The 27,925-nt window shown below is 46.7% G+C and overlaps 1 protein-coding gene across 10 annotated transcripts in view; it reads right to left on the bottom strand.

Annotated features, from left to right (window-relative positions):
* The window catches only part of ARSL (arylsulfatase L), a 33,725-nt gene continuing 10,676 nt past the window's right edge, over nt 4,877-27,925 (bottom strand). For 5 of the 10 annotated variants that reach the window (NM_001282631.2, NM_001369079.1, NM_001369080.1 and 2 more), the window contains 8 exons: nt 25,772-25,893; nt 23,499-23,621; nt 19,660-20,083; nt 16,354-16,490; nt 13,421-13,555; nt 8,451-8,613; nt 7,098-7,219; nt 5,166-5,546 (listed from right to left, as the gene is read on the bottom strand). In NM_001282631.2, coding sequence (NP_001269560.2) covers nt 5,188-5,546; nt 7,098-7,219; nt 8,451-8,613; nt 13,421-13,555; nt 16,354-16,490; nt 19,660-20,083; nt 23,499-23,621; nt 25,772-25,893 — 1,585 coding nt within the window. In that variant the 3' untranslated portion in view covers nt 5,166-5,187. Of the gene's footprint in view, nt 5,547-7,097; nt 7,220-8,450; nt 8,614-13,420; nt 13,556-16,353; nt 16,491-19,659; nt 20,084-23,498; nt 23,622-25,771; nt 25,894-27,925 lie in introns of all 10 variants that reach the window. The other 5 variants (XM_047442110.1, XM_011545521.2, XM_047442109.1 and 2 more) reach the window with 2 other exon arrangements.

A 27,925-nucleotide genomic window follows, 5' to 3' on the forward strand; every position in this document is an offset into this window, starting at 1 on the left:
ATTAGCTGGGTGTGGTAGTTCACGTCTGTAGTCCCAGCTATTCGGGAGGCTGAAGCAGGAGAGTTGCTTGAACCCGGGAGGTGGAGGTTGCAGTGAGCTGAGATCGCGCCACTGCAACTCCAGCCTGGGCGACAGAGTGACACTCCGTCTCAAAAAATAAATAAATAAAAATAAAAAATAAACCCAGTTAGGCTTGAGCACAGGGAGCCCCTTTTCTTTTTGTCAGGAAGGGTCTTAGGACCTACCCAGAGCAATCAAGTTGCGATTTCAGTTTCTCAAAGCTTGGTGTTTGAAATGTCTGTTCCGGATGCTGGACTTGTACTCTAAGTCTGGGACGGGGAATGCTAGATGGGCCCTTTTTTTTTGCTTTTATTACTATTATTATTATTATTTTGAGATAGGGACTCACTCTGTCGCCCAGGCTGGAGTGCAGTGGTGCGATCTCGGCTCAGTGCAACCTCCGTCTCCTGGGTTCAAGCGATTCTCCTGCCTCAGCCTCCCGAGTAGCTGGGACTACAGGCGCGTGCCACCACGCCCGGCTAATTCCAATTGCTATTTTTATCTTTGTTTCTTTCATCAGACTGCTGTTGAAATTACTCCTTTTGATTAATCACTGTGCCCTGGACCCCTCCCCATCTTTTCTGTGACTCATCCTTTTGTTTTTGAATGATGCTATTTTGCTCATTACCCTCTCACGTAATGCTTTTTTTGTATCTTTGGCTCTCCCTTTGTTGTTTGTTTGTTTTGTTTTTAACTCTTTTGACCTCTAGAAAGATCAAGGCTGAGAGTTGAGGCTGCAGTGAGCCTTTGTTTTTGTCTAACTCTCTTGACCTCCAGTCGCTGATTCTCTCAAGCCCCTTCATGTCTTACCTCATCCCCTCACATCCCCTCACAATGCAAGATCTGGTCAAAGTATAAATTCATATTTTGTAGGAAATGCTAGCTTACAAAACAATATCACATCCCTACCTCCAGCCCAGGTGACCCACTTTCCCTCAAAGGGGGTTGCTTAGGTCCTCTTCCACTGGTCAGGGACAAAATGATTCCATAGTCTTCAAGATTAACAGTACTTTCTTTTTCCAAGGCTGAGGCTGTCAAGGGTGAGGCTGTCACCGCCTCCCAAGGAAGTGGAACTACCGGTGTGCACCACCACCCCTGACACATTTTTGTTAATTTATTTTTTTGCTAGAGACTAGGTCCCACTATGTTGCCTAAGCTGGTCTCAAACTCTTGCCTCAAGCAGTCCTCCTGCTTTGGCCTCCCAAAGTACTGGGATTACAGGTGAGCCACTGTGCCTGACCAGCCACAAGACTCTATGTTGGGTGTGTAGGTGGGAAGCATATCCAGGTCCTCCTCACCATTATTCTGCCTCCAACATTTATGCCATTTTTTTTTCCTTTGCAACTCAGTTCTCTATGCTTACCAAATGGAATCAGTAAGGTAGGGGAGGCGGGGTGGAAGTTTGTGTTGAAAACATAGATTCAGAAGCCCCTCCTTAAATTCACTGAGTTAGGATTTTCATAAATGAGGGAGCTGCCCCACACTCCCCTGGGATGAGATGATGGGGGTGCTTGTTCAAGACAATACAGTCAGGAGCCCTACTCCCTAAATTTATTCAATTGGAATCTCCCAAAATGGTGCTGGGAATTCTATTTAGAAAAAAGACCATTCACTTTTAATTGGCAAATTTAGTTCATTTACATTTATTACGCTGGCCATCTGTCTGGAGCTAGCTCTTGAGCACTGTTTATTGCTTCTCTCTTTGCCCTGTTACTCTGAAATAGCTTTTATCAGACAGGCTTGGTGGCTCACACCTGTAATCCCAGCACTTTGGGAGACTGAGGGGGAAGGATTGCTTGAAACCAGGAGTTTGAGAACAGCCTGCGAAACACAGAGAGACCCTGTCTCTACAAAAAAATTTTTTTAAGTTAGCCGGGCATGGTGGTGTGCCTGTAGTCCCAGCTATTTGGGAGGCTGAGGTGGGAGAGTCATCTGAGTGCAGGAATTTGAGGTTGCAGTGAGCTGATTGCACCGTTGCACTCCAGACTGGGTGACAGAGCAAGACCCTGTCTCTAAAAAAATTTAAAAAAGAACTTTTTTATCTTTGAGGGCTTCCCAACTGGGATTCCTTGCTGAGCCTCTGTCATGCAGATGGAGAAGGCCAGGCCGAGGCCTGGAAGGAGGGGGGCAGGAGACAGCCCAGAAGCAGTTCTGCAAGGAGGTTTAGCAGGGGTGGCGCGGAGATTTGATCCTTGGAAGAAATCCTATGCTGCTGGGAGTTGAGATTCCTGAGAACTAGAGAGAAAAGAACTTTGGGTGCCCTTAGGTAAATTATGTAAACACACTGAGCTGTCTTGGGTGCCCAGGATTTGGAAATGGGGCCTGGGGGCAGTAGGAGCTGGTGCTCCAGAAGTCATATTTGCGGGAGGTTGTGGGGATGGAAAGGGTGGGTAAGCCCTGACCCTGAGGGTCTCACATGACTTTCAGCACATGGAGCCTCCATGGGGACTTTGGCTTCAAAGCCATCAAGCTCAAGAGTGTGGGCAAGTGTGGAGACAGAGGTGACTCTCCCCAGTGGATGCTGAAGAACTTAAAGGTGACTCTGTGGGCCGGGAACATCGGGCACAGCTGACCCAAAGTGCTGGTCTTGTTCCATAAGCCATGGCTATGGGGAAAGCCATAGGGGTTAACTGGTTCTTCCTGCCATCCCTCCCTCCCTTTCTTCCTTTTTCTTTTTGCTTCTTTGCTTTCCTTCCTTCCTGCCATTTTTTCCTTCCTTTCTTTTTAGAGATGAGGTCTCGCCCTGTCGCCCAGTGGCACGATCACAGCTCAGTGTAGCCTTGGACACTTTGGGAGGCCAAAGGCTCAAGTGATCCTCCCGCCTCAGCCTCCCAAGTAGGTGGGACTATAGGCACGTGTCACCACACCTAATTATTTAAATGTTATGCGGAGGCAGGGTCTCGCTATGTCACCCCAGCTGGTCTGAAACTCCTGGCCTCAAGCCATCTTAGTGCCCTAAAGTGCTGGGACTACAGATGTGAGTCACCGCACCTGGCCTACTATTTCTTTCTTGACCCAAGAGAATTGGCTGGAGATGGATTTGACTTTTTGGTCTGTATGCACAGCCTGAATTCTTGGAGGCTGATGTGGATTGGATAATTTGAGGACATGTTCTTGAGGCGGTGACAAGGTGGGGCATTGCTCGTCACATACCTAGGCTTGGAAGAGTGGGAGGAGGGACCTGTTGCTTGAATCTGGAGACAGAAAGAGCTATTGGAAAGACCTCCTTACTCCCAGGGGAGAATGTGCTGGGGACTGAATTGTGTTGCCTTCAAACTCACAGGAATAAGGTTTTTATTCATCCTTTAAAATGAGGTCACAAGAGTGGGCCCTATTCCAATAGGAGTGGGGTCCTTATAAGAAGAGGAGATTAGGGCCGGGTGCAGTGACTCACGCCTGTAATCTCAGCACTTTGGGAGGCCAAGGTGGGCGGATCACTTGAGGTCGGGAGTTCTAGACCAGCCTGGGCAACATGGTGAAAACCCACCTCTACTAAATAATACAAAAATTAGCCGGGCATGGTGGTGCACGCCTGTAGTCCCACCTACTCGGGAGGCTGAGACAGGGGAATCACTTGAACCTGTGGCAGAGGTTGCAGTGAGCTGAGATCACGCCATTGCACTCCAGCCTGGGCAACAGAGCAAGACCCCATCTCAAAAAAAAACAAAAAACAAAAAACAAGAATCAGAGATAGGACACAGACAGGCACAGAGGGATGACCGTGTGAAGACATGGGAAGAAGGCAGCAGCTGTGAACCGAGAAACAGGTTCTCCCCAGACACAGCTTCCGTCACGCCGTGGTCTTGGACATCCAGCCTCTAGAACTGCAAGAAAGAAATATTCTTGATGATACCCAGTTTATGGTATTTTCATTCTAGCAGCCCAGACAATTAAGGCGCAGCCTGATTATGCAATGACCTTGCAGCTCAGAGCTGGGGCGAACACTTCCTGCACAGCGCGGCTTCCACAGCCAGAGTTTGCCCAAATCACCTGGGGCATTGGAGACAAAGGAAAACCACTTGAAAACAGTTCCAACGGGAAGCACGGCTCATCCTTGTGGCCGTAAACGATAAACAAACACTATAAATGGGCACCACAGACAAAGCCACATCAGTGCCAGTTTTTATCTTTGGGGCCTATCTCCTGTTCATGTGCAAACCTGTAGGTCACAGAGACACCTTTGCTGGGACTTGTGCTGTTTTGGGCTACAGGGCAGCCTCTTCCAGACTGAGCTGGGGTCCATTGACAGACTCCTCCCCGACTGCAGGAGATACTTTGCCTCTCCAGTTTGGTGTCTGAGTGATCATTCAACGGTGCATTATTAATGTTTGTTTGTTTATTTATTTATTTTTGATGAGACAGTCTTGCTCTGTCACCCAGGCTGGGGTGCAGTGGTACGACCTCAGCTCACTGCAACCTCTGCCTCCCGGCTTCAAGCAATTCTTCTGCCTCAGCCTCCTGAGTAGCTGGCATTATAGGCGTGTGCCACCACACCTGGCTGCTGCTGCTGCTTTTTTTTTTTTTTTTTTTTTTGATAGAGACAGGGTTTCACCATGTTGGTCGGGCTGGTCTCGAACTCCTGACCTCAAGTGATCTGCCTGCCTCTGTCTCCCAAAGTGCCGGGATTACAGGCGTGAGCCACTGCGCCTGGCCAGTGTTTATTGTTCATTTCTACTTTCTCTTGCCTTTTCCTTTGTTTTTCACAGGGGGAAACTATTCATCCTTATGCAAATAGATATCTTAACATGACACTGAAGTTTGTTTCATTTTTTTGTTTTCTTTCTTTTTTGAGACAGGGTCTTGCTCTGTTGCCCAGGCTGGGGTGCAGTGGTACAATCATAGCTCAGTACAGCCTCCAACTCCGGTGCTCAAATGATCCTCCTGCCTTAGCCTCCTGAGAAGCTAGAACTACAGGCGTGTGCCACCATGCAGGCTAATTTTTTTTTTATTTTTGTTTTGTAGAGCTAGAGTTTCATCATGTTGCCCAGGTTGGTTTTGATCACGGGAGTGATCCTCCTGTGGTGGCCTCCTAAAGTGCTGGGATGACAACCACCATGGCCAGCTGGTTTGTTTCAATTTGAGTGACAAAATTTAGGAATCGGGGCTCCAGCTTTTCACTGCAGACATTTATTGTGGGTCATCTTCCCTAAGGCACCAGCAGAGGGGGAACGGGCCACAGCAGGGCTGCAGCCACGGTCTCCAGATGTTGCCCAGCCTGTCCAGCTGCAGAGGAACTGGGCTGAGTGTCCGCTGGTGTTCCCACACCGCCTGCTGGACTCGTTCCATCACCTGATAGAACACGGGCTCTGAGGCTGGTGTGAGGATGTGGGTCTCAGAAGGGTCTCTTGAGAGGTCAAAGAGCAAAGGTGGATCGTGGTGGACTACTTTTTCCCCAAAGCACGGGCAGACCTTTCTTCCATAGCAGGCACCGGCTCCCTCTGGCTGGAACACAGGCGTCACAAAGTGGACTTTCCACATTGTTCCTCCTGGTGGAAAGATAATCATTACAGAGTTGGCATAGAGAAATAGGGTGCCTTGCTGGAGAATGGCATCTTCATAGGGCTAAAAGGTAGGCCTAACCCAAGCGTCCATCGATGGATGGACAGATAAACAAAACATGGTACATCTTACATGGCATACTCTGCAGCTATGAGAAGGAATGACACAATGACACAGGCTGCAACATCAACGAACTTTCAAAATACTACGCTCAGAGAAAGAAGTTACAAAAGAGCACACATTGCATGATTCCATTCACATTGAATGTCAAGGATAGGGAAACACATAATGACAGGAAGTAGAGTAGTGGTTTCCAGGGTCTGCAGGGTGTGAAATGGAGAGTGACTGCTGATAGGAACAGTGTCTGCTTTTGGCGTGATGAAAATGTTCTGGAGCTACATAGACGTGGAGGTTGCACAACACTGTGAAAGCACGAAGTGCCTGTGAATTGCACTCAGTCAGTTTTTTCTTTTCTTTTCTTTTCTTTTCTTTTTTTTTTTTTTTATTTGAGACAGAGTCTTGCTCTGTCGCCCAGGCTAGAGTGCAGTGGTGCAACCTCCGCCTCCTGGGTTCAAGTGATTCTCCTGCCTCAGCCTCACAAGTAGCTGGGATTACAGGAGTGCGCCTGTAATTGTTCACAAAGAAGATGAAGTCGTGTTAAGGTCAGGTGATTAAAACATTTGGAAGCACATCTAGATGCATAAAATAGACTACAAAAGGCTGGGCGTGGTGGCTCACACCTGCAATTTCAGCATTTTGGGAGGCCAAGATGGGTGGATTGCTTGAGCCCAGGAGTTGCCTGGGCAACATACTGAGACCTTGTTTCAACTTAATAAAGAAAAATTGGAGACCAGGCGTGGTGGCTCATGCCTGTCATCCCAGCACTTTGGGAGGCCGAGGAGGGTGGATCACTTGAGGCCAGGGGTTCAAGAACAGCTTGCCCAACATGGTGAAACCCCATCTCTACTAAAAATACAAGAAATTAGCCAGGTGTAGTGGTGGGCACCTGTAATCCCAGCTACTCAGGAGGCTGAGGCAGGAGAATCACTTGAACCCGGGAGACTGCAGTTGCACTCCAGCCTGAGCGACAAAGACTAGTCTCAAAAAAATAATTACAAAAAAATAAGAAAAAAAAGAGACTAGAAAAGTCTTGAACACATGTGTGTGCAAGCATGTGTGCGTGCGTGTGTGTATGCATGCACATACGTGTGTGTGATGATGATAAAAGTTGCACTTCATATAGTGCAGGGAAGAAAGAATGAAATATAGCCCATACATGGTGCTGAAACTATAGGTAACGACTCCCCATCGTTTTAAGACGATTGGCAGGTGATCTCAGAAGGCATGTCGCTGGAATGAGAGGGACACATATTGACAAAAACTAAATTTAAAAAGCTCGTGGAGAAAAACGGAAGTGCGGAGACATGGAGATGGACTCTGGAATGCAGCTCCATCCCTAGCCTGTTCTAGGGCATGGTGCTTTCCTGCACAGAGGGACTCTTTCCCTAAGGGTGTTAGGAAGGGGCTCCCCTACTCACTGTCCCGTTGATGCCACCTGGCTGCGTGCAGAAACCTCTCACAATAATGCATCAGGAACTCGTGGTCTGAGTGTTGGGCTGTCCCCAGGAGCAAGGGCAGAAGGTCTTGGCCGTCAATCACTCTGCAGGAAGGAACATGGCATGGCTCAGGGTTGGAACAGGGACTCTGGACATTTGTCCCTCCAGCATCCACCAGTCCCAGCCCCAGGTGGTGCACTCTCCTTATGTTGTATCAGTGGAGGGAAAGTCTGGGTGTGAACGCAGATGGATGGAAGGCATGTGTGTGCATTAGCACGCTTAGAAGAAGAATGCAGCAGCTGCCCACGTTAGTCACCACCAAACGTCACCTTTGGCTAAAAAGTAATTAATTGGCCAGGCACAGTGGCTCGTGCGTGTAATCCCAGCACTTTGGGAGGTCGAGGCGGGTGGATCACCTGAGGTCAGGAATTCGGGATCAGCCTGGCCAACATGGTGAAACCCCGTCTCAACTAAAAACACAAAAATTAGCCAGGTGTGCTGGTGTGTGCCTGTAATCCCAGCTACTCGGGAGGCTGAGGCAGGAGGATCGCTTGAACCCAGGAGGCGGAGGTTGCAGTGAGCCTAGATCGCACCACTGCACTCCAGCCTGGGCAACTGAGTGAGACTCAGTCTCAAAAAAAAAAAAAGAAGAAAAAAAAGCTGAAAGAGCCAGCACCCAAAGGCTGGAATGTAACAAAAGCCCACTAAGAGTTCTACCCAGGCCTTTCCTGGACCTTGAAGCGCGATAAAATAATGAAGGGATTCTTAACAGGACCCATTTAGGATTAAACAAGTTTTATTGGGGATCTGAAGGAACTCCCCAGACCTCCACAAACAAGTTTTATTGGGGGGTCTAAAAGAACTCCCCAAACCTCCATGATTTAGCAGGAGACAAGATAAGGGTAATCACCCCAGCACCTGGAACCATCTAGATTAAGTCAACTTACTGAGGCTCCAGAGGAAGGTCCTCAGGACTCAGACCTTAGTTCTAGATGAAAGGAAGTTGAATCACTTATGTCTTTAGATGGATGCACGCTTACATGTGGACATACAGCTTAGAAGGTATAGAAGCTCTGGAAAACTTTGTAATTTTGAGTTGGTCTAGTGATCATTTCCAGCCTTCTCCCCGTATCTGGTTACAGAAATAAAACTCCTTTCTTTCCTCGTTCATTTGCATCTCGTTATTGGGCCATGAGAATAAGCAGCCCGACCCTCGGTTTGGTCGGGGAACAATTTCAGGGACGCCTTACTGCAAAGCCAAAGTGACATGTTCATTTGCCATAAGTGTTGCTGTGTCTGTGCAAAGCTGAATTGTTTCTTTGGGTTGTTCTGTACCTGTCCTGGGGCACCTCGCCGCCCGCCAGCCGGACCACGGTGGGGAACACGTCCATCAGACTCGTGGGCTCGCCAATCACTCGGCCGGCCGGGAGCACCCCGGGCCAGCGGAAGATCCCGGGCACGCGGATCCCACCTTCCCATCCTCCCATGCCCTTCCCACCTGGGTTTGAACAGAAACAAAAGAAAGTGGTTAAAAACCAGAAATAGATGCTCAGCCTGGCTGATTTAACTTTTCTGCTTGTTTCACTTGTTTGAAGTTTCTCTCTCCCTGAGTCTCTCAATTTCTCTCTCTCTCTCTCTCTGTTTTAGTGACATTAAAACATTCAATCTCATGTAGTTCCCCTGTAGAGGTTTGATTTTATATTTTTTATTAACCTTGTTATTGGTTAGTGTGCATTGGATTAAGTTAGGTCCTTCACTACAAATGACTCTTGTTCTTAGAAGACACAGACACAGAGGAGAAGGCCATGTGGAGACGGAGGCAAAGACTGGAGTGATGTGGCCACAAGCCCAGGGACTCCTGGAACCCCCAGGCGCTGGGAGCAGCAGGAAGGATCCTCCCCTAGAGCCTCAAGAAGAAAGTGGATACAACTATAACGTATTGAACAGTGACCCCAAAACATGTTCATGTCATATCTCCCAGAGCCTATAAATGAGACTTTATTTGGAAATAGGGGGTTTGCAGATATAATCAAGTTAAGGACCTTGAGATAATCCTGGATTAGGGTGGCCCTAAATGCAATGACAGATGTCCTTCTAAGAGACAGAAGAGGAGACACGGACACAGAGAAGAAGGTCACGTGGAGACAGAGGCAGAGACTGGAGTGATGCGGCCACAAGCCCAGGGATGCCTGGAGCCCCCGGTAACTGGGAGAGGCAGGAAGGAGCCTCCCCTAGAGCATCCAGAAAGAAGTGGATTCAATTGCAATGGATTGCACTTTAGTCCTCCTGAAACATATATCCACACCCTGATCCCCAGATTCTGTGAATGGGACCTTATTTTAAAAAGGGGTCCTTGTAGATGCAATTAAGTATCTCAAGATCGTCGCGGAGAAGGATGGACTCTAAGTCCAATGACAGCATTCTAAGAGACAGAAGAGGAGACACAGACACAGAGGAGAAGGCCACATAGAGACGGAGGCAGAGACTGGAGTGATGTGGCCACAAGCTCAGGGACACCTGGGGCCCCCAGGAGTTGGCAGAGGCAGGGAGGAGCCTCCCCTAGAGCTTCTGGCGGGAACATTTCCCTGAGACACGTTGATCTCAAACTCCTGGTCTCCAGGGCTGGGACAGGATAAATTCCTGTTGTTTAAAGCTCCGCCAGTTTATAATACTGACATTCTTGATGGCACAGAGAACCAGATTGGGTAGAGGATACATTAACGTCAATGGCAATGAGATAAAGAAGGTTTCTGAGGAGTCAGGCCTTCAATGTGAAGTTGTTGTGGGAAGGCATTAGTGGATGTAGTTGGCATTTATATATCCCGTTTTACATATGTACTAGACTGATGGATCCATCTACTTCAAAGCAAATATACATCATAGGTATATTTGCCAATATTAGCCTAAAAAGGCTCTTTCAAGGACTGAAAAATAAAGCTCTCTAAGCAGGGAGAAGACAAAATGTGTAAGCACAACAGTGTGAAGTCATGTACACGGGGCAGCACATTTTAGCATCTTTGTGGTACACGAAAGAATGGCGTGTTTGGAAACAATGGAATACAGGTTTGAATATAATGTGGCCAGCTAGGTGTCTACCCTTCTACCTTTTTTTTTTTTTTTTTTTTTTTTGAGACAGAGTCTTACTCTGTCACCCAGGCGAGAGTGCAGTGGCACAATCTCAGCTGACTGCAACCTTCACCTCCCAGGTTCAAGCAATTCTCCTGCCTCAGCCTCCTCAGCTGGGATTACAGGCGTGCACCACCACGCCTGGCTAATTTTTGTATTTTTAGTAGAGATGAGGTTTCACCATGTTGGCCAGGCTGGTCTCAAACTCCTGACCTCAAGTGATCTGCCTGCCTCGGTCTCCCAAAGTGCTGGGATTACAGGTGAGAGCCACTGCGCCTGGCCTTATCCTTCTTGGATGCATTGTCTGAAGGTAAAATTCAAACCTGAGTCCACACAATGGAATATATTCAGCCATGGAAAGGAATGAAACATTTCCACAACACAGATGAACCTCAGAGGCATCATGCTAAGTAAAAACAAAAAAACTCCACATATTGCATGATTTCATTTACATAAATGTCTAGAGTAGGAAAATATACAATGATACAAAATAATTTTGTGGCCAGGCATGGTGGCTCACGCCTGGAATCCCAGCACTTTGGGAGGCCCAGCTGGGAGGACTGCTTGAGTTCAGGAGTTTCAGACCAGCCTGGGCAACATAACAAGACCCTATCTTTACAAAAGATAATTTTAAAAATTAAATAATAAACAAATCAAAAATAAGTTTTTGGGTGATGGATGTTAGCACGGGGGAAAAGGGAGTGACTGCTATGAGTAGAGGATTTTTTTGTGAGGTGATGAAATGTTCTGAAATAAACAGTGGTGGACCACATGTGGTGGCTCATGCCTGCTGTCATCCCAGCACCTTGGGATGCCAACGTGGGAGGATCACTTGAGGTGAGGAGTTTGAGACCAGCCTGGGCAACATGGCAAAACCCCATCTCTACAAAAATACAAAAATTAGCCAGGAGTGGTTGCATGCACCTGTAGTCCCAGCTACTTATGATCGCTGAGACAGGAGGATCACTTGAGCCCAGGAGGCAAAGGTTGCGGTGAGCCAAGATCGTACCACTGTACTCCAGCCTGGGAGATAGAGCCAGACTGTCTCAATAAAAATAAATAAAAATAATAACAATAAATTTTACGAATGAAAATAGTGATTGTAAAACAAAAATAAAATTCTAAGGACCCCCAACCATCTGAATGGACTTCCTCCTCACCCAGAGCTCTTTAAAAACTTAACCTGAGAGGCTGTTTCAGGCCGTGACAGGAAGCGGGAGTCGAACATGCCTCATGATTCCTCTCTGGCATTAACATCCACACAGCCTTTAGGTCTGATAAGAAGCATGTTACAACCTCTTGTCTCTGAAGCCTAGTACCTGAAGGCTTCCTCTGCAAATAAGAACTTGGGTGTCCACAATCTTTTTTTTTTTTTTTTTTTTTTTTTGAGATGGAGTTTCGCTTTGTCGCCCAGGCTGGAGTACAGTGGCACAGTCTTGGCTCACTGCAACCTCCGCCTCCCAGGTTCAACGGATTCTCCTGCCTCAGCCTCCCAAGTAGCTGGGATTACAGGCACGCACCACCACACCCAGCTAATTTTTGTATTTTTAGTAGAGACAGAGTTTCACCATGTTGGCCAGGCTGGTCTCGAACTCCTAACCTCAAGTGATCCACCCGCCTTGGCCTCCCAAAGCGTTGGGATTACAAGTGTGAGCCACTGTGCCTGGCCTCCACAATCCTTTATCTTAACCCAGACATTCCTTTCTGTTGATCCCAGGTCTTTAGAGAAACAACGAATTGTCAACCAGGAAATGTTTAAATCTACCTGTAGGCTGGAAGCCCCGTGGCTTTGAGTTGTCCCACCTTTCTGGACCAAACCAATGTGTCTCTTAAATGTATTTGATTGCTGTCTCATGCCTCCCTAAAATGTATAAAACCAAGCTGCGCCTTGACCATCTTGGGCACACGTTCTCGGGACCTCCTGAGGGCTGTGTCACAGGCCATGGTCACTCCTATTTGGCTCAGAATAAACCTCTTCAAATGTTTTACAGAGTTTAGCTCTTTTCATCGACATGATGATGGTTACACAACTCTGATAATCTACTAAAAATTCCTTAATTGTGCACAAAAACGTGGCAGGCCACGTCTCACTAACACAGGCCTCCGTAACAACTGTTTCAGCACTGACGAGTGGTGAAGTTAAATAGCAAAAGCTGAAACAACCAGCGCCTGTATACAAAGGCCGGGATGTCACAAAAGCCCCCCAGGAGTTCTGCCCAGGCCTCTCCTGGGCCTTGAAGCGTGACAAGATAACCAAGGAATTCTTAGCAGGACCCTTTTAGGATTAAACAAGTTTTATTAGAGGTCTGAAACAACTCCCCAGACCTCCGCGATTTAGCAGGAGACAAGGTAAGGGTAATCAGCCCTGGCACCTGGACCCATTTATTTATTTGTTTATTTATTTATTTTATTATTTTTGTTGTTGAGATGGAGACTCTCTCTATTGCTTAGGCTGGAGTGCAGTGGCGCGATCTCAGCTCACTGCAACCTCCGCCTCCCAGGTTCAAGCGATTCTTCTGCCTCAGCCTCCTGAGTAGCTGGGACTACAGGCGTGTGCCACCATGCCCGGCTAATTTTTGTATTTTTAGTAGAGGCGAGGTTTCACCATGTTGGCCAGGTTGGCCTCAAATTCCTGACTTCAGGTGATCCACGCACCTCGGCTTCCCAAAGTGCTGGGATTACAGGCATGAACCACCGTGCCCGGCCACCTGGACCCATTTAGATTAAGTCAATTTACTTAGTCTCCAGAGGAGGGTCTCCGGGACTCAGACCTTAGTTACAGATTAGAAGAAGTTCATCACTAATGTCTTTAGATGAGTGCACACTTACACGCAGACATACAGCTTAGAAATAGAAGCTCTGGAGAACTTTGTAATTTTGAGTTGGTCTGGCAACAATTTCCAGACCTCCCTGTAACCGGTTACAGAAATAAACTCCCTCCTCTCCCAGTTCATCTGCATCTCATTTTTGAACCACCAGAATAAGCAGCCTGACCCTCAGTTTGGTCCAGGAACAAAAATTCAAACTGGAGTATGTCAAATTACCACTTTTGCCCTGGATAGGAAAAATCACTGTCCCTGAGCAATAATATTGACCCTCCTGGAATAGATTGCCCTGCTGGGAATTGCAGGGAAGAGATAAACTTGCAAGATGAAGATCTGGGAGCATCTCAGTCTTACCTTTATAAATTCCATTCCAGCCACCATACTGGGTGTTTCCAAGTTGATTCTCTAGGGAACCGCCGTGATCCGACGTAAAATAAATGAGGGTGCTGTTGCTCAAACCCTCCACGTCCAAAGTGTCAAGGATCCGTCCTGCAAAGAACAGATGTTTTTGGGGCCGTCGAAATGGAAAAATATCAGAAATGCAGCTCTGAAGTGTATGCTTTAGCATTCGGGGGCTAGCCACAAGAATGAAGCCTTAGTTTTAACGCATAATGGAAGTCAGCTGTTGGATAATTTTGATATCCTTTGTTGGAGATTGATGTATGACTTTATATGCACCCCATCCTTTGGTCAGAATTTTAGGCAACGTACAAGGACAAAATATCAAAAACTTAAAAGTGCAGCATGCAGGCTGGGCACAGTGGCTCACACTTGTAATCCCAGCACTTTAGGAGGCCGAGGCAGGAGGATCATTTGGGGTCAGGAGTTGTAGACCAGCCTGGCCAACATGATGAAACTACATCTCTACTAAAAATACAAAAATTAGCCGGGCGTGGTGGCACATGCTTGTAGTACCAGCTACTTGGGAGGCTGAGGCAGGAGAATAGCTTAAACCCGGGAAGTGGAGATTGCTGTGAGCTGAGATCACGCCACTGCGCTCCAGCCTGGGTGACAGAGTGAGACTCGGTCTCAAAAAAAAAAAAAAAAAAAAAAAAAAAAAAGTGAGGCATGTGAATATTCCTGAGAAGAAAGCATAGACTGAAAATGCAGACCAGTCCTCAAAAGTGACCCTGAGCTTCTTGCAGCCACACACAAGGGAACTCATGTCATTAATGTCACTCACAGTTGGCCGGGCACAGTGGCTCATGCCTGAAATCTCAGCAATTTGAGAGGCTGAGGTGGGAGGCTCTTTGAGCCTATGAGTTTGAGACCAGCCTGAACAACACAGCAAGAACTTGTCTCTACAAATAATAAAAAAATTAGCCGGGTGTGGTAGTGCACACCTGTGGTCCCAGGTACTTGGGAGGCTGAGGTGGGAGGATTGCTTGAGCCTGGGAAGGCAGGGTGCAGTGAGCCACGGTTGCACCACTGCACTCCAGCCTGGGTAAGAGTGAGACCCTGTCGGCCAGGCGCAGTGGCTCATCCCTGTAATCCCAGCACTTTGGGAGGCTGAGGCGGGCGGATCACAAGGTCAGCAGTTCGAGACCAGCCTGGCCAACATGGTGAAACCCCATCTCTACTAAAAGTACAAAAATTAGCCAGGCATGGTGGCGGGTGCCTGTAAACCCAGCTACTCCGGAGGCTGAGGCAGGAGAATTGCTTGAACCCGGGAGGCGGAGGTTGCAGTGAGCTGAGACCGTGCCATTGCACTCCAGCCTGGGCAACAGAGTGAGACTCGGTCTCAAAAAAAAAACAAAAAAAACAAAAAAAAAAAAACAAAACAAAAAGTGAGACCCTGCCACACACACACACACAATTAACTTTTTCTCCTTCCATGCCTAGCTTGTTGAGGAAACAATTTTTTTTTTTTAAATACGTCGTTCACCCAAATCTCTGATGGCAATTATTCTGAGGATCCTGGGATTCGCAGCCCACCACCACCTAAACCCTGCGGTTCCTAAGTTCTTTTTTGGGAGGCAGGGATGTGCTGTGCCCATATACAGGTGCTCACCCAGCCCTGACTCACTCAAGCAATATTCCCCTTCCATCCTGTTCTAAACCCAGGAAATATAATGAGGGAATGAGGCAAGACAATCCGGCCCCACAGGAGTTTATATTCCCCTGGGGGAAATGGAAAATCAACCTACCTAACACATGGTCACGAAGAGAAGCAATGGTGATGCTGTGTTAGGAAAAAAAGAAGAAAGAAGACAGAAAGAAGAAAGAAGAAGAAGAGGAAGAAGTGGAAGAGGAAGAAGAAGGAGGAGGAGGAGGAGGAATATGAAGAAGAAGAATAAGAAGAAGAAGAAGAAGAAGAGGGGGAGGAGGAGAAAGGAGGAAGAGGAGGAGGAAAACAAAGGCAAAACAAAAAAGGACCACAGGAGAATGGGGGAGAAGATGATTGGGGAGGAGCTACTTTAGGGGTGCGTCAGGGCAGGCTCTGAAGAGGAGCCAGTGAAGCCTGAGGAAGCATTCCAGGAGGGAACAGCAGGTGTGGAAGCCCTGACAGGGGACAAATGTGAAAGATACTGTGTGGCGTCCACGTGGCCAGAATGCAGCAGGTGGGGAGGACAAGGGGGTTGGGTAGAGGTCAGACTAGGATCTGGGCAGCAGCAGGTCATGGGGCTTTTGTAGGTGATAGGAGGAAATTTAGTCCTATTTTCAGTGCAGTGGAGCCACTAGCCACTCTACAGCGGAGAGGAATTTTATCTGCTCTTTCTTTTGTTTGTCTACCACATGGCAATAGGACGTAGACATCTTTGGGGCCAAAATTCTGTATGCCACTTGGGAATTCAGACGTGGAAATCTCTGAGGTCATTATTCTCTCTAACACATGGGGATTAAGACGTGGACATCTTTGGAGTCATTATTCTGTCTAGCACATGGGGATTAGGATGTGGACATCTTTGGGGCCATTATTCTGTCTCCCACATGGGGATTAGAAAGTGGCTATCTTTGGGGCCATTTTTATGTCTACCACATCAAGATTAGGACGTGGATGTCTCTGCAGCCATTATTCTGTCTAGGGAGTGGACAGCTTTCTGCCACATGGGATTAAGATGTGGACATCTTTGGCCGAATCGCATTGCCTCCCGTGCATGTGTTATGGAATTCACCCTCTGCTAATGCAGTGAAGATCTGTGCTATAATATTTTGCACTCTTAAAATCCAATCGCACTGCAATCGCTATTCTGCATCTTCTGTCTTTAACCTTCTCATTCTTTGTTTCCTTTCCTGCTTCTATTGCTGGAAGGGAAGCAGCCCATTTTCCCTGGAAGTGCACTTACCTACCATCCAGTCCATCTCCTCTACGTTGTCCCCATACAGCCCGTGGAGACTCTTCCCGAGGAAGTTCTCCATAGTGATAAGAGGGATGTGAACGTGTAGAAAGGAAACAAAGAGGAGGAAAGGCCCATGCTTATTCCTAAAAATAAATACGAAGCAATTAAGGTGACTTTTTTGGTAAAACAGAGATTGAAGTCCTGTAGATACTAAATACGGATCTCACTTGTCACATCATTACTCAAATGTCTTCTCAACTCTGCTCACCAAAAAGAAACACTCAAAACTCTTCTTCAACGGAAAATTAATTCTTATATTTAACAATCTTCCTTTTTTTTTTTTTTTTTTTTTTTTGGCTATTTTAAAGACAGGGCCTTGCTCTGTTACCCAGGCTGGAGTGCAGTGACATGATCTCAGCTCACTGCAGCCTCAATCTCCCAGGCTCAAGTGATCCTCCCACCTCAGCCTCCCAAGTAGCTGGGGCCACAGGCATGTGCTAACAGGCCCAGCTAATTTTTTTTTTTTTTTTTTTTTTTTTTTGTAGAGACAGGGTCTCACTATGTTTACTAGGCTGGTCTTGAACTCCTCGGCTCAAGTGACCTGCCCCTGCCCATCTCGGCCTTCCAAAGTGTTGGGATTACAGGCGTGAGCCACCATGCCTTTCTGGTCTGTTACCTCTCTCTGTTTTTCATTTTGAGACGGATTGTGGCTCTGTCGCCCAGGCGGGGGTGCAGTGGCACGATCTCAGCTCACTGCAACCTCTGCCTCCCAGGTTCAAGCAATTCTCCTGCCTCAGCCTCCCAAGTAGCTGGGATCACAGGCATGCACCACAACACACGTCTTGTTTAAGACTCTTTAACATCATGACTTTTCCCTTCCCTTCTGAAATCTATTTAAAAATCCACACTGGGCCAGGCGTGGTGGCTCACACCTGCAATCCCAGCATTTTGGGAGGCTGAGGCAGGAGCATTGCTTCAGCCTAGGAGTTCAAGACCAGCATGGGAAACATAGCAAGACCCCATCTCTACTAAAAATACAAAAATTAGCGGGATGTGGTGACATGCACCTGTACTCCCAACTGCTCAGGAGGGTGGGGTGGGAGGATTGCTTGACCCTGGGAGGAGGAGGTTGCGGTGAGCTGAGATTGCGCCACTGCACTTCAGCCTGGACAACCGGATTGAAATCCTGTCTCAAAATAAATAAATAAATAAATAAAAACCCACACTGATCTAATGCATCTTTTCCCCCCCGAATATTATAATGTTCTAACTCTACTGCTTAATGCAAAGTTAAAAGAACTGTAGGTTACTGACATGACTTTTATTTTGTTCAATTATTTCAATATCTATTTTTAACCTCAAGCTTTAGCTTATAGAATAAGTGGTGCCACACATTCCATTTTCTTTATAATTGCTATCACGTAGTGAGGATTAGGACATAAAATAGTTATAAAAAACACACTTTACAAATGAGGCATATTGGGTTATTCATATTATTTCCATTGTCCTCCTTGAAAGCAGTGTTTTAGCTTCTCCCTCCCTTCACCCGGCCTTCATGGTCTAATCTAGATCCTTGAAGCCTAAGAGCAATGGTGAAGGTGTTAGCCTTAATTAGAACACGTCAGGCTGGGCATGGTGTCTCATGCCTGTAATCTCAGCACTTTGGGAGGCTGAGGCAGGAGGATCACTTGAGCCCAGGAGTTCGAGACCAGCCTGGGCAACATAGCCAGATCCTGTCACATTTAAAATCAAAAAGAACACAACAGTCTTACCCTGCTTTAATTTGCAAGCTAATTGTCAATGTCCTTTCTGTCATACATTAGGTATTGCCATGAAGAACTCTCTAAGAGGCTGGATGCAGTGGCTCACGCCTGTAATCCCAGCACTTTGGGAAGCCAAGGCGGGTAGATCACTTGAGGTCAGGAGTTCAAGACCAGCCTGGCCAACATGGCAAAACCCATCTCTATTAAAAATATAAAAGTTATCTGAGCATGGTGGTGCATGCCTGTAATCCCAGCTACTTGGGAGGCTGAGGTACAGGAATTGCTTGAACTCAGGAGCGGAGGTCGCAGTGAGCCAAGATTGCACCACTGCAGTCCGGCCTGGGCCATAGCTCGAGACTCTGTCTCAAAAAAAAAAAGAAAAAAATTATCTAAGAATGTTGTAGGAGATGATGACAACCTCATTGTCACCAGGTAAGGTGACTTTTGATGGTGTTACCATCTTTACTAGAATGCCCTTGGGGAGCATGAAAATAGCTGTGTAGTACTGAGAACTAGTTTCATCCCATTTCTCCTGGTCCCACACAGGAATTTTCCTTGCCATAAAATTGACCGCAGGCTGAATTCTGCCAAAAGACATCTGACTTCTGAAGATAGACTTTTTTTTAAGTTTATAATTGATTATAAAGCCCTTCAGGTGATGCAGGTTACTTAAATAGTGTCTGTGGTGATCCGAGGATGCTAATGGAATAAGACTGACCCCAGAGTAGTAGCAAATTCCAGCTGACCTGTAACAATTTCTTTTTGAGACAAGGCCTTGCTCTGTCGCCCAGGCTCCCTTCATAGCCTCACTACATAGCCTCAACCTCCTGGGCTCAAGTGATCCTCCTGCCTCAGCCTCCCAAGTAGCTGGGCCTACAAGTCCATGCCACCACAGCCAGCTAATTTTTAAAATTTTTGTGGAAATGGGGTCTTGCTGTGTTGTCCAGGCTGGTCTCTAACTCCTGGCCTCAAATTATCCTCTTGCCTCAGTCTCCCGAGTAGCTGGGATAACAGGTGTGTACCACTATGCCCAGCTCAGCTGTAACAATGTTTTAATGGACACAAGGCAAGTCACAGGGCTCCACTGACCCTCATCTATGCCCCATTCTTACCAAAAAATTGTCCTTCTAGGTCATGGCTATCCCATTCTTCAAACGTCAATTAAAGAAAACGACTTTTTTTTTTTGAGACAGGTTCTCCCTGTGTCACCCAGGCTGGAGTGCAGTGATGTGACCTCACCTCCCTGCAACCTCCACCTCCCAGGTTCAAGGGATTCTCCCACCTCAGCCTCCCGAGTAGCTGGGATTACAGGCATGCACCTGTAAAGCCCCACATTGGGCTAATTTTTGTATTTTTAGTAGAGACGGGGTTTCACCATGTTGGCCAGGCTGGTCTCGAACTCCTGACCTCAGGCGATCCTCCCACCTCAGCCTCCAAAAGCACTGGGATTACAGGAATGAGCCACCATGCCTGACTGAAGAAGACTATTTAGGATGCGTTTTCATTCCAAAGCTGAGTGCTTGGAGGAAGCTGACCCTTTTCTGCTGACCTTTTGAGAAAGGACGCAACCTCCTGCAGAATAAGGGGTGTCGTTCTTTGGAAGCACATGGGCTGCTCCGTGATGGTGTGGTTTCTCATCAGAAAGCAATCGGCATGGACAATCAGAGCACCCACAAAATAGGAGCTTGCGAGGAGGAGGACGGCCGAAAGGGCTGACCAGATGACCGGCATCCACGAGACGGGTATCAGGTGTGTGAGCTTCCCTGCTACCAGTGTGAGGGCAACCAAGGCCAGGACTTGGAAGAGGAAGTTGAGTTTTTGTTCCAGGTTGACACGCTTCTCTGAGAGTTCCCAGCGGGCGCAATCACCCATCAAGGAGAAAGGCATTCCGTAGAAATGGTCAAAGCCATGATGGAGAGGGTGGTGGCAATGATCACTGGCTGACTCACAGTTGAGACCCAGATGCCATTTTCCTGAGAGGCAAAAAGGATGTTGATGTGACAAGCATCTGAGCATAACTGGACATGTCGATATTGACTGTTTGTCACATTCCTGATACTCTGTTAGACACTGGGGGGCCAGGAGATTGCAAAGAAGTGTGGGCAGCATTAGCTGTTATTTGCACCACAATCTGGCCTCATCGTTTCAGGGGAATGAGGACCCCATGTGTCAGCTTTAACCAAAATATTAGTTACCCGTGACAGGTGGAACAAATTACTGTAAAACTGTTCACTTAATACAACAGAAATCTATCCTCTCCCAGTCCTAGAGACCAGGAGTCTGAGATCAAAGTGTCTCCAGGCCACACTCAAATTGGAGGCTCTAGGGGAGGATCCTTCCTGCCTCTCCCAGCTCCTGAGGGCTCCAGGCCTCCCTGGGCTTGTGGCCGCATCACTCCAGTCTCCATCTCCATGTTTCCATGGCGTTGTCCTCTGTGTGTGTCTGCGACCTAATCTCTTGTCTCATAAGGACAGCAGTCATCGCAGTAGGGCCCACTGTAGAGACCTCATCTTTACTTGATTATATCTGCAATGACTCTATTGTGAGCTGGATCCTGGCCTGCCTCAAATTCATGAGTTGAAGCCCTAACACCCAGGACCTCAGAATGTGACTGTGTTTGGAGACAGGGTGTTCAAAGGATAATTAATGTAAAATGAGGTCATTAGTTTGGGCACTGATATGGTTTGGCTGTGTCCTCATGCAAATCTCACCTTGAATTGTAATAATCCCTATGTGTCAAGAGTGGAGCCAGGTGGAGATAATTGAATCATGGAGGTGGTTTCCCCTACACTGTTCTCATGGTAGTGAATGAGTCTCACAAGATCTGATGGTTTTATAAATGGGAGTTCCCCTGCACATGCCCTCTTGCCTGCCGCCATGAAAGACATGCCTTTGCTTCTCCTTTGCCTTCCACCATGATTGTGAGGCCTCCCCAGCCATGTGAAACTGGAAGTCCATTAAACCTCTTTTCTTTATAAATTACCCAGTCTTGGGTATGTCTTTATTAGCAGCGTGAGAACAGACTAATACAGGCCTTAATCTGATAGAACTTGTGTCCTATAAGAAGAGGATAGTAGGACACAGACACACACATACTCTCTCCAGAGGCTCTAGGGGAGGATCCTTCCTGCCTCTCCCAGCTCCTGGTGGCTCCAGCTATCCCTTGGCTTGTGGTCGCCTCACTTTAATCACACTGCTTTCTCCTCTCTGTGGCCCAATCTTCCTCTACCTCCATGTTAAACGAAGCCTTGTCCTTGCACAGTGGGCCCAGCTGGATAATTCAGGATCATCTTCTCACCTCAAGATTGTTCACTTAATCACATTTACAAAGACTCTTTTTGCATATAAGCTAATATTTGCTAGATTCAGAGGTTAGGGCCTGACATCTCTGGGACCATTATTTAGTCTATTGCACCTTGTTTTGCAGTGCAATGATGAAGGCCGGAAAGCACCATGTGATATCAGCAGCATGGGCAAAAGACTTCTGGACTTTGGAATTGTTCTCTCTTTGAGAAACCACTATCATAGTGGCCATGGTTGAAGTGGGTGGTGGGTTTTGCAAGGCACACCTTTCAAATTCAGTCAAAGGAATATAGTCTTTGCTTCCATGTAGCCACTACTATGGTGTTGACAAAGAGATGTCAACCACCCCAATGCTGTCTGCCATCTGGAAAACCTCATGATTTCCCAATGGATATCCCTTAAGGATAGACTCTTCTGTCTTAGAAAAATTATAGTTGGCCAGGCATGGTGGTTCACAACTATAATCCCAGCACTTTGGGAGGCCGAGGTGAGAGGATTCCTTGTGCCCAGGATTGCTGGAGACCAGCCTGGGTAGCATGGGAAGACCCCATCTCTACAAAAAAAAAAAAAAAAAAAAAGAAAAAAAAGAAAAAATTAACCGGGCATGGTGGTGCAAGCCTGTAGTACCAACTGCTTGGGAGACTAAGGTGGGAGGATCACTTGAGTCTGGGAGGTCGAGACTGCAGTGAGCTGTGACTGCACCATTGCCCTCTAGCCTGAGTAACAGAGTGAGTACCCTGTTTAAAAAAAAAAAAAAAGTCTATTGGAAAAAATACACCTTTGTTTGACAGCGATGACTGAATCTCCCCAGAATTTGTTTTTTTTTTTTTTTTGGTAAAAAATTAAACAAAGAACATTTTATAATTTTTAATTTTTAGAAATATAGTTTATTGAATTTTATACTCATTGTATCCACTAGTCATGTTGTTTGTTATCAATAAATGGAACTGTTGATAACAATCATTACTATAACACAATAATGATAATGGCAACTTGGTCTCCTCTCAAGGAACTGTTGTCATTAATTTTATTTTTCATCCAATACATGACATGTTTGTTGACTTGTAGAAAAATAACCATGTTAGTTATGGAAGCTGACAGGGAGGTACTAAATCTAGTAAAGACATTTTCATACACACCAAGGGGAAAAATAGGTAGCATTACAGAAATTTTTGATGCAAGAATATATTTTTTCTTATTTTTTTTTATCATGGCCTACGAGAACATTGTTTGAGATGCCAAATATTTCATTAAGTTGATGTTCCTTTTCTTTCTTTCTTTTTCTTTTTCGTAGAGACAGGGTTTCGCCATGCTGCCCAGGCTGGTCTCAAAGTCCTGGCCTCAAGCGATCCACCCACCTTGGCCTCCCAAAGTGCTGGGATTACAGGCATGAGCCACCGCGCCTGACCAGAGTCACTTTTGTAAGGGCACTAATCCCACACATGAGGCTCCACCTTCACGACCTCATCACTTCCCAAAGGCTTCACCTCCTGCCACCATCACCTGGGGGGTAAGGGTTTCAACATAGGAATTTTAGGGGGACACAAACATTTAGATGGCAGCACTAAACTAGCCAAGTTGATCCATAAACCAACCAGAAAAGAGCTGAAGGTGTTCAGTCTAAGACATTCATGTCTAAGACAAAAAGTCCATGTGAAGGGTGGGAGAGGATCCCACAGAACAAAGAAGCAATTATGTGTTGTGCAATGGAGCTTGGAACATATGCCATAGGCATGAGCACATTTTATTTATTTTTTAATTTATTTTTATGTATTTTTTTGTAGACGTGGGGTCTTGCTATGTTGCCCAGGCGGGTTTCAAACTTCTGGGCTCAAGCAATCCTTCCGCCTCGGCCTCTCAAAGTACTGGGATTATAGGCATGAGCCACCTTGCCTGAGCTGGTATTTCTTGAGTATCTACTTTGCAGAAAACAACCTGGAAAGGAACATGGTTCCTAGATACATGCAGCTTTCTGTCTAGTGGGAAATCCCACAGCACCTCACCCACTTTCCTTTCCAAACTCTTTAGCTGAATGTCCCTTCCATATAAAAGTCATGTGCTTACCACTTTTAAAAACGTACATACCAATGAGTCCAGTGGCATAGCCTTTCTCTTTCAGTATTTTTGCAAAAGTTGTCTCATTTGTTGGAAGACCTCCAGATGCTCCGGTCCACTGAAGAACACGGTAACCAATGCTGGAAACCATCCCTTTGAGCAATTATTAAGAGAAAGAATTACTGTTCCACATTTTTTTTCCTGTTTGTTATTTATTATTTATTCAAAAATAGAACACTTGGTAAAAATCTCTCTTACTTAAAATTAAATTGAAAATGGACTTCCTATATGACTTTGCCTAGTGGATTGCATTTTTGGCAGCAAAGTAAATGATTAATTTATTGAAAACCTTAGCGAGAAGATGGACTTTCCTGTTATGTGCAGGTTATAAGCAATATAATTCAGTGAAAAAGGACTAAAAATTTAAATGGTTTTTTGTTTGTTAATTAATTTATTTAAAGATGGGGTCTTGTTCTGTCGTCCAGGCTGGAATGCAGTGGTGTAATCAATGTCCACTGCAGTCTCAACCACCTGGGCTCAAACGATCCTCCCACCTCAGCTACCTGAGTAGCTGGGACTACAGGTGTGCACCACCACACCTGGCTAATTTTTAAATTTTTTGCAGAGACAGGGTCTCACTCTGTCACCCAGGCTTGAGTGCAGTGGCATGACTATAGATCACTGCAGCCTTGAACTCCTGGGCTCAACTGATCCTCCCACTTCAGTCTCTCAAGTAGCTGGGACTATAGGGGCTCATCACCATGCCTAGCTAATATTTTTAATTTTTTGGCAGAGACGGGGTCTCACTATGTTGCCCAGGCTGGTCTTGAACTCCTAGACTCAAGTAAATCCTCCCACCTCAGCCTCCTAAAGTGTTGGGATTAGAAACATGAGCCATTGTGCCTGAACTAAAAATGATTTTATAATTTCATCAAACTCTTGATATAATCTAAAGGTTCTCAAAGTTGTCTGCCCATTGGAATCGTGTGGGGAGCTTCAAAATATTCTGACGCCTGGTTATCACCCCAGGGGTGCTAATTTTCATTGGTCTTGGGTGGAACTTGGGCTTTGGGATGGTGGGAATATCCTCTGGATGATTCTAACGTACTGACAAGGTTGGTAGCCACTGATAAAATTTTATTCTGCTCTCCAGACATTCCAAATCTCTACCCAAGGGTTTTTTTGTTTGTTTGTTTGTTTTGGGACAGAGTCTTGCTCTGTCACCCAGGCTGGAGTGCAGTGGCGCCATCTCGGCTCACTGCAATCTCCGCCTCCCGGGTTCAAGCAATTATACTGCCTCAGCCTTCCAAGTAGCTGGGATTACAGGCACTCATCATCACGCCCAGCTAATTTTTGTATTTTCAGTAGAGACGGAGTTTCCCCATGTTGGTCAGGCTGGTCTTGAACTCCTGACCTCAGGTGATCTGCCTGCCTCAGCCTCTCAAAGTGCTGGGATTATAGGCATGAGCCACCGTGCCCAGCCTCTACCCAAGTGCTTTAAAATGTAGGTGTTATGTATTATTATTATTAAGGTTTTATCATTCAGCTATGGCAAGGCCAACAGATCAGGAGATGACTGTCATTGGAGAGATAGTTTATTACTCACAGTTTCTGATAGTTTATTACTCACAGTTCAAGAGGACGCAGGGGTGAGCCATGCTGTGTGACTATATGGGGAAGCTCCAGGGTTGGTCAGGAGGCAGAGGGAGTGAGGGGAAAGCATGGAAAAAGCCTTTCTTATTTATTGTTTTTCTTTTTTGGAAAGTAATGGGCAAGGTAGGGTAAGCCGGCTTAAGACTGGCCAGGTTGTACAATTTCCGTGGGCTTTCATCTGCAGGGGCTGTCCCTAGAAAGCTGGTACCTGATTCTGGGGGGATTAGGGCAAGGAGAGAGTAGCCCCATATATGAAAATCTCATAAAAGTGATGGTTGGGGGTGTGGGCTCTGGACTGTTTGGTTTATGCATGAAAGGTGCACTCCCAGGTGACTTGTTTGCTATCTCTAAGAATTGGCTAGCCCTGGGAGGGCCAGTCCTGCCAAGGTCAGCAAAGCCCTAAGATGTCAAAGCATCAGAATATAAAAGCTGCCTGGGCACGGTGGCTCATGCCTGTAATCCCAGCACTCTGGGAGGTCAAGGAGCGGGGATCTTTTGAGCCCAGCATTTCAAGACCAGCATGGGCAAGATAGAGAGAACACCCCCCAGTCTCTATTTAAATAAAAAATAAAAAAACCAAAATGTAAGAACTAGAAACTGTGACGAATACACCAGGCTGCACCCTAGTGCAGTTGTAAAGAGAGACTGACCTGATCGCACAGGGTATCTGCCCGTGAGGAAGGCGGCTCTGCTTGGGGTGCACAAAGATGCGGCAGAGATGTGTTGGGTCAGCTTCACGCCGTCCTCTGCAAGGCGGTCAATATTCGGAGTCCTATGGAGGGACAAATTAACAGCTTTACTTGTTAAAATTAGACAGGCTTTTCATAAGCATAGCTACATGCTACTTCATAGAAGGTCTGCTGGTCATCGCTGAGTGCTTCAAGATGTTCTCAGGAATGACCCAAAGGTAATGTCAAAGATTTCTAATGTCTTCTGAACTTTCGAGGAAACATCAACTCATTTAAATAGGAATGAGTGGCTGGACGCGGTGGCTCATGCCTGTAATCCCAGCACTTTGGAAAGCCACAGCGGGAGGATCGTTTAGGGCCAGGAGTTCAAGACCAGCCGGGCCAACATGGCGAGACCCTGTCTCTACAAAAAAATCTACAAAAATAGAAAAATTAGCCAGGATTGGTGGTGCATGTCTGTAGAACCAGCTACTTGGGAGACTGAGGAAGGAGGATTGCTTGAGCTCAGGAGTTTGAAGCTGCAGTGAGCTGTGATTGCAACACTGCACTTCAACCTGGGTGACAGAGAGACAACCTGTCTCTAAAATAAATAAATGAATGAGTAGATAGAGTGACTAAGTTTCCACAAGGCACTGTTGGTACTGAGAGACCGACCTCAGAGGGAATGCAGAACTGAGAGCCCAGGGCACCTTCTCTGGAGCTCACAGTGTTCATGGGAAGGTTTGACTTCATGGACGCCAACACACTGTAAGTACTACATGAGGGTGGAAGGCTGGAATTCGGACAGGAGGACGGACTAGCTCTAGCTCTTGACAGATGGACACGCCATATTTTGGCATTAGGAGGGTGTGGACTTGTCTGTCTGAAGCAGAGCTTTTCAGCAGGGGAGGATTGAAATCCCGCATAAGTGCTGGGCTTGGCTAGATGGATAGGGTTGGGAGTGAGACAGAGATCAATATTGGTCTTCTGCTTACAGGCAACGACACTGATTTCTCCTGTATGTTTGTTTATTTGTTTGTATTTTGAGACTGAGTCTCACTCTGTCACCCAGGCTGGAGTGCAGTGGCACTATTTGAGTCTCACTACAACCTCCCCCTCCCGGGTTCAAGTGATTCTCCTGCCTCAGCCTCCCAAGTAGCTGGGATTACAGGTGCCCGCCACCATGCCCAGCTAATTTTTGTATTTTTAGTAGAGACGGGGGTTTCACCATGTTGGCCAGGCTGGTCTCGAACTCCTGACCTCCAAGTGATCAGCCTGCCTTGGCCTCCCAAAGTGCTGGGATTACAGGCGTGAGCCACCACGGCCAGCCTACTTTTTGAAACAGGGTCTCTGTCGCCCAGAGTGCAGTGGTCTGATCACAGCTCACTGCAACCTTAAACTCCTGGGCTCAAGTGATCCTCCCACACCTCACCCTCTTGAATAACTAGGATTACAGGTGCATGCCATCATGCCTGGCTAATTTTTTTTTTAATTTAAAAATTAATGTGCCAGGCGTGGTGGCTCACGCCTGTAATCTCAGCACTTTGGGAGGCTGAGGCAGGCAGATCACGAGGTCAGGAGATTGAGACCATCCTGGCTAACATGATGAAACCCCGTCTCTATTAAAAATACAAAAAATTAGCGGGGTGTGGTGGTGGGCGCCTGTAGTCCAAGCTACTTGGGAGGCTGAGGCAGGAGAATGGCGTGGACCCGGGAGACGGAGCTGGCAGTGAGCCAAGATCATGCCACTGCACTCCAGCCTGGGTGACAGAGCGAGACTCCGTCTCAAAAAAAAAAAATTAATGTTTATATTTTCTAGAGACAGGATTTCACTATGTTTCCCAGGCTGGTCTTGAACTCCTGGCCTTAAGTGATCCTCCTGCCTCAGCCTCCCAAAGGGCTGGTATTACAGTCATGCCCGGCTGATAGCATTTCTAAAGCATTGTCCATTATGTACTGGGTGGATAAAAATCATATTTAAAAAATGAAATGAGGCCAGGCACAGTGGCTCACACCTGTAGTCCCAGCACTTTGGGAGGCTGAAGCGGGTGAATCACTTGAGGCCAGGAGTTCGAGACCAGCCTGGCCAATATGGCAAAACCCTGTCTCTACTAAAAATAGAAAAATTATCCAGGC

Source organism: Homo sapiens, chromosome X, assembly GCF_000001405.40.
Source record: "Homo sapiens chromosome X, GRCh38.p14 Primary Assembly".
Lineage (NCBI taxonomy): Eukaryota > Metazoa > Chordata > Mammalia > Primates > Hominidae > Homo > Homo sapiens.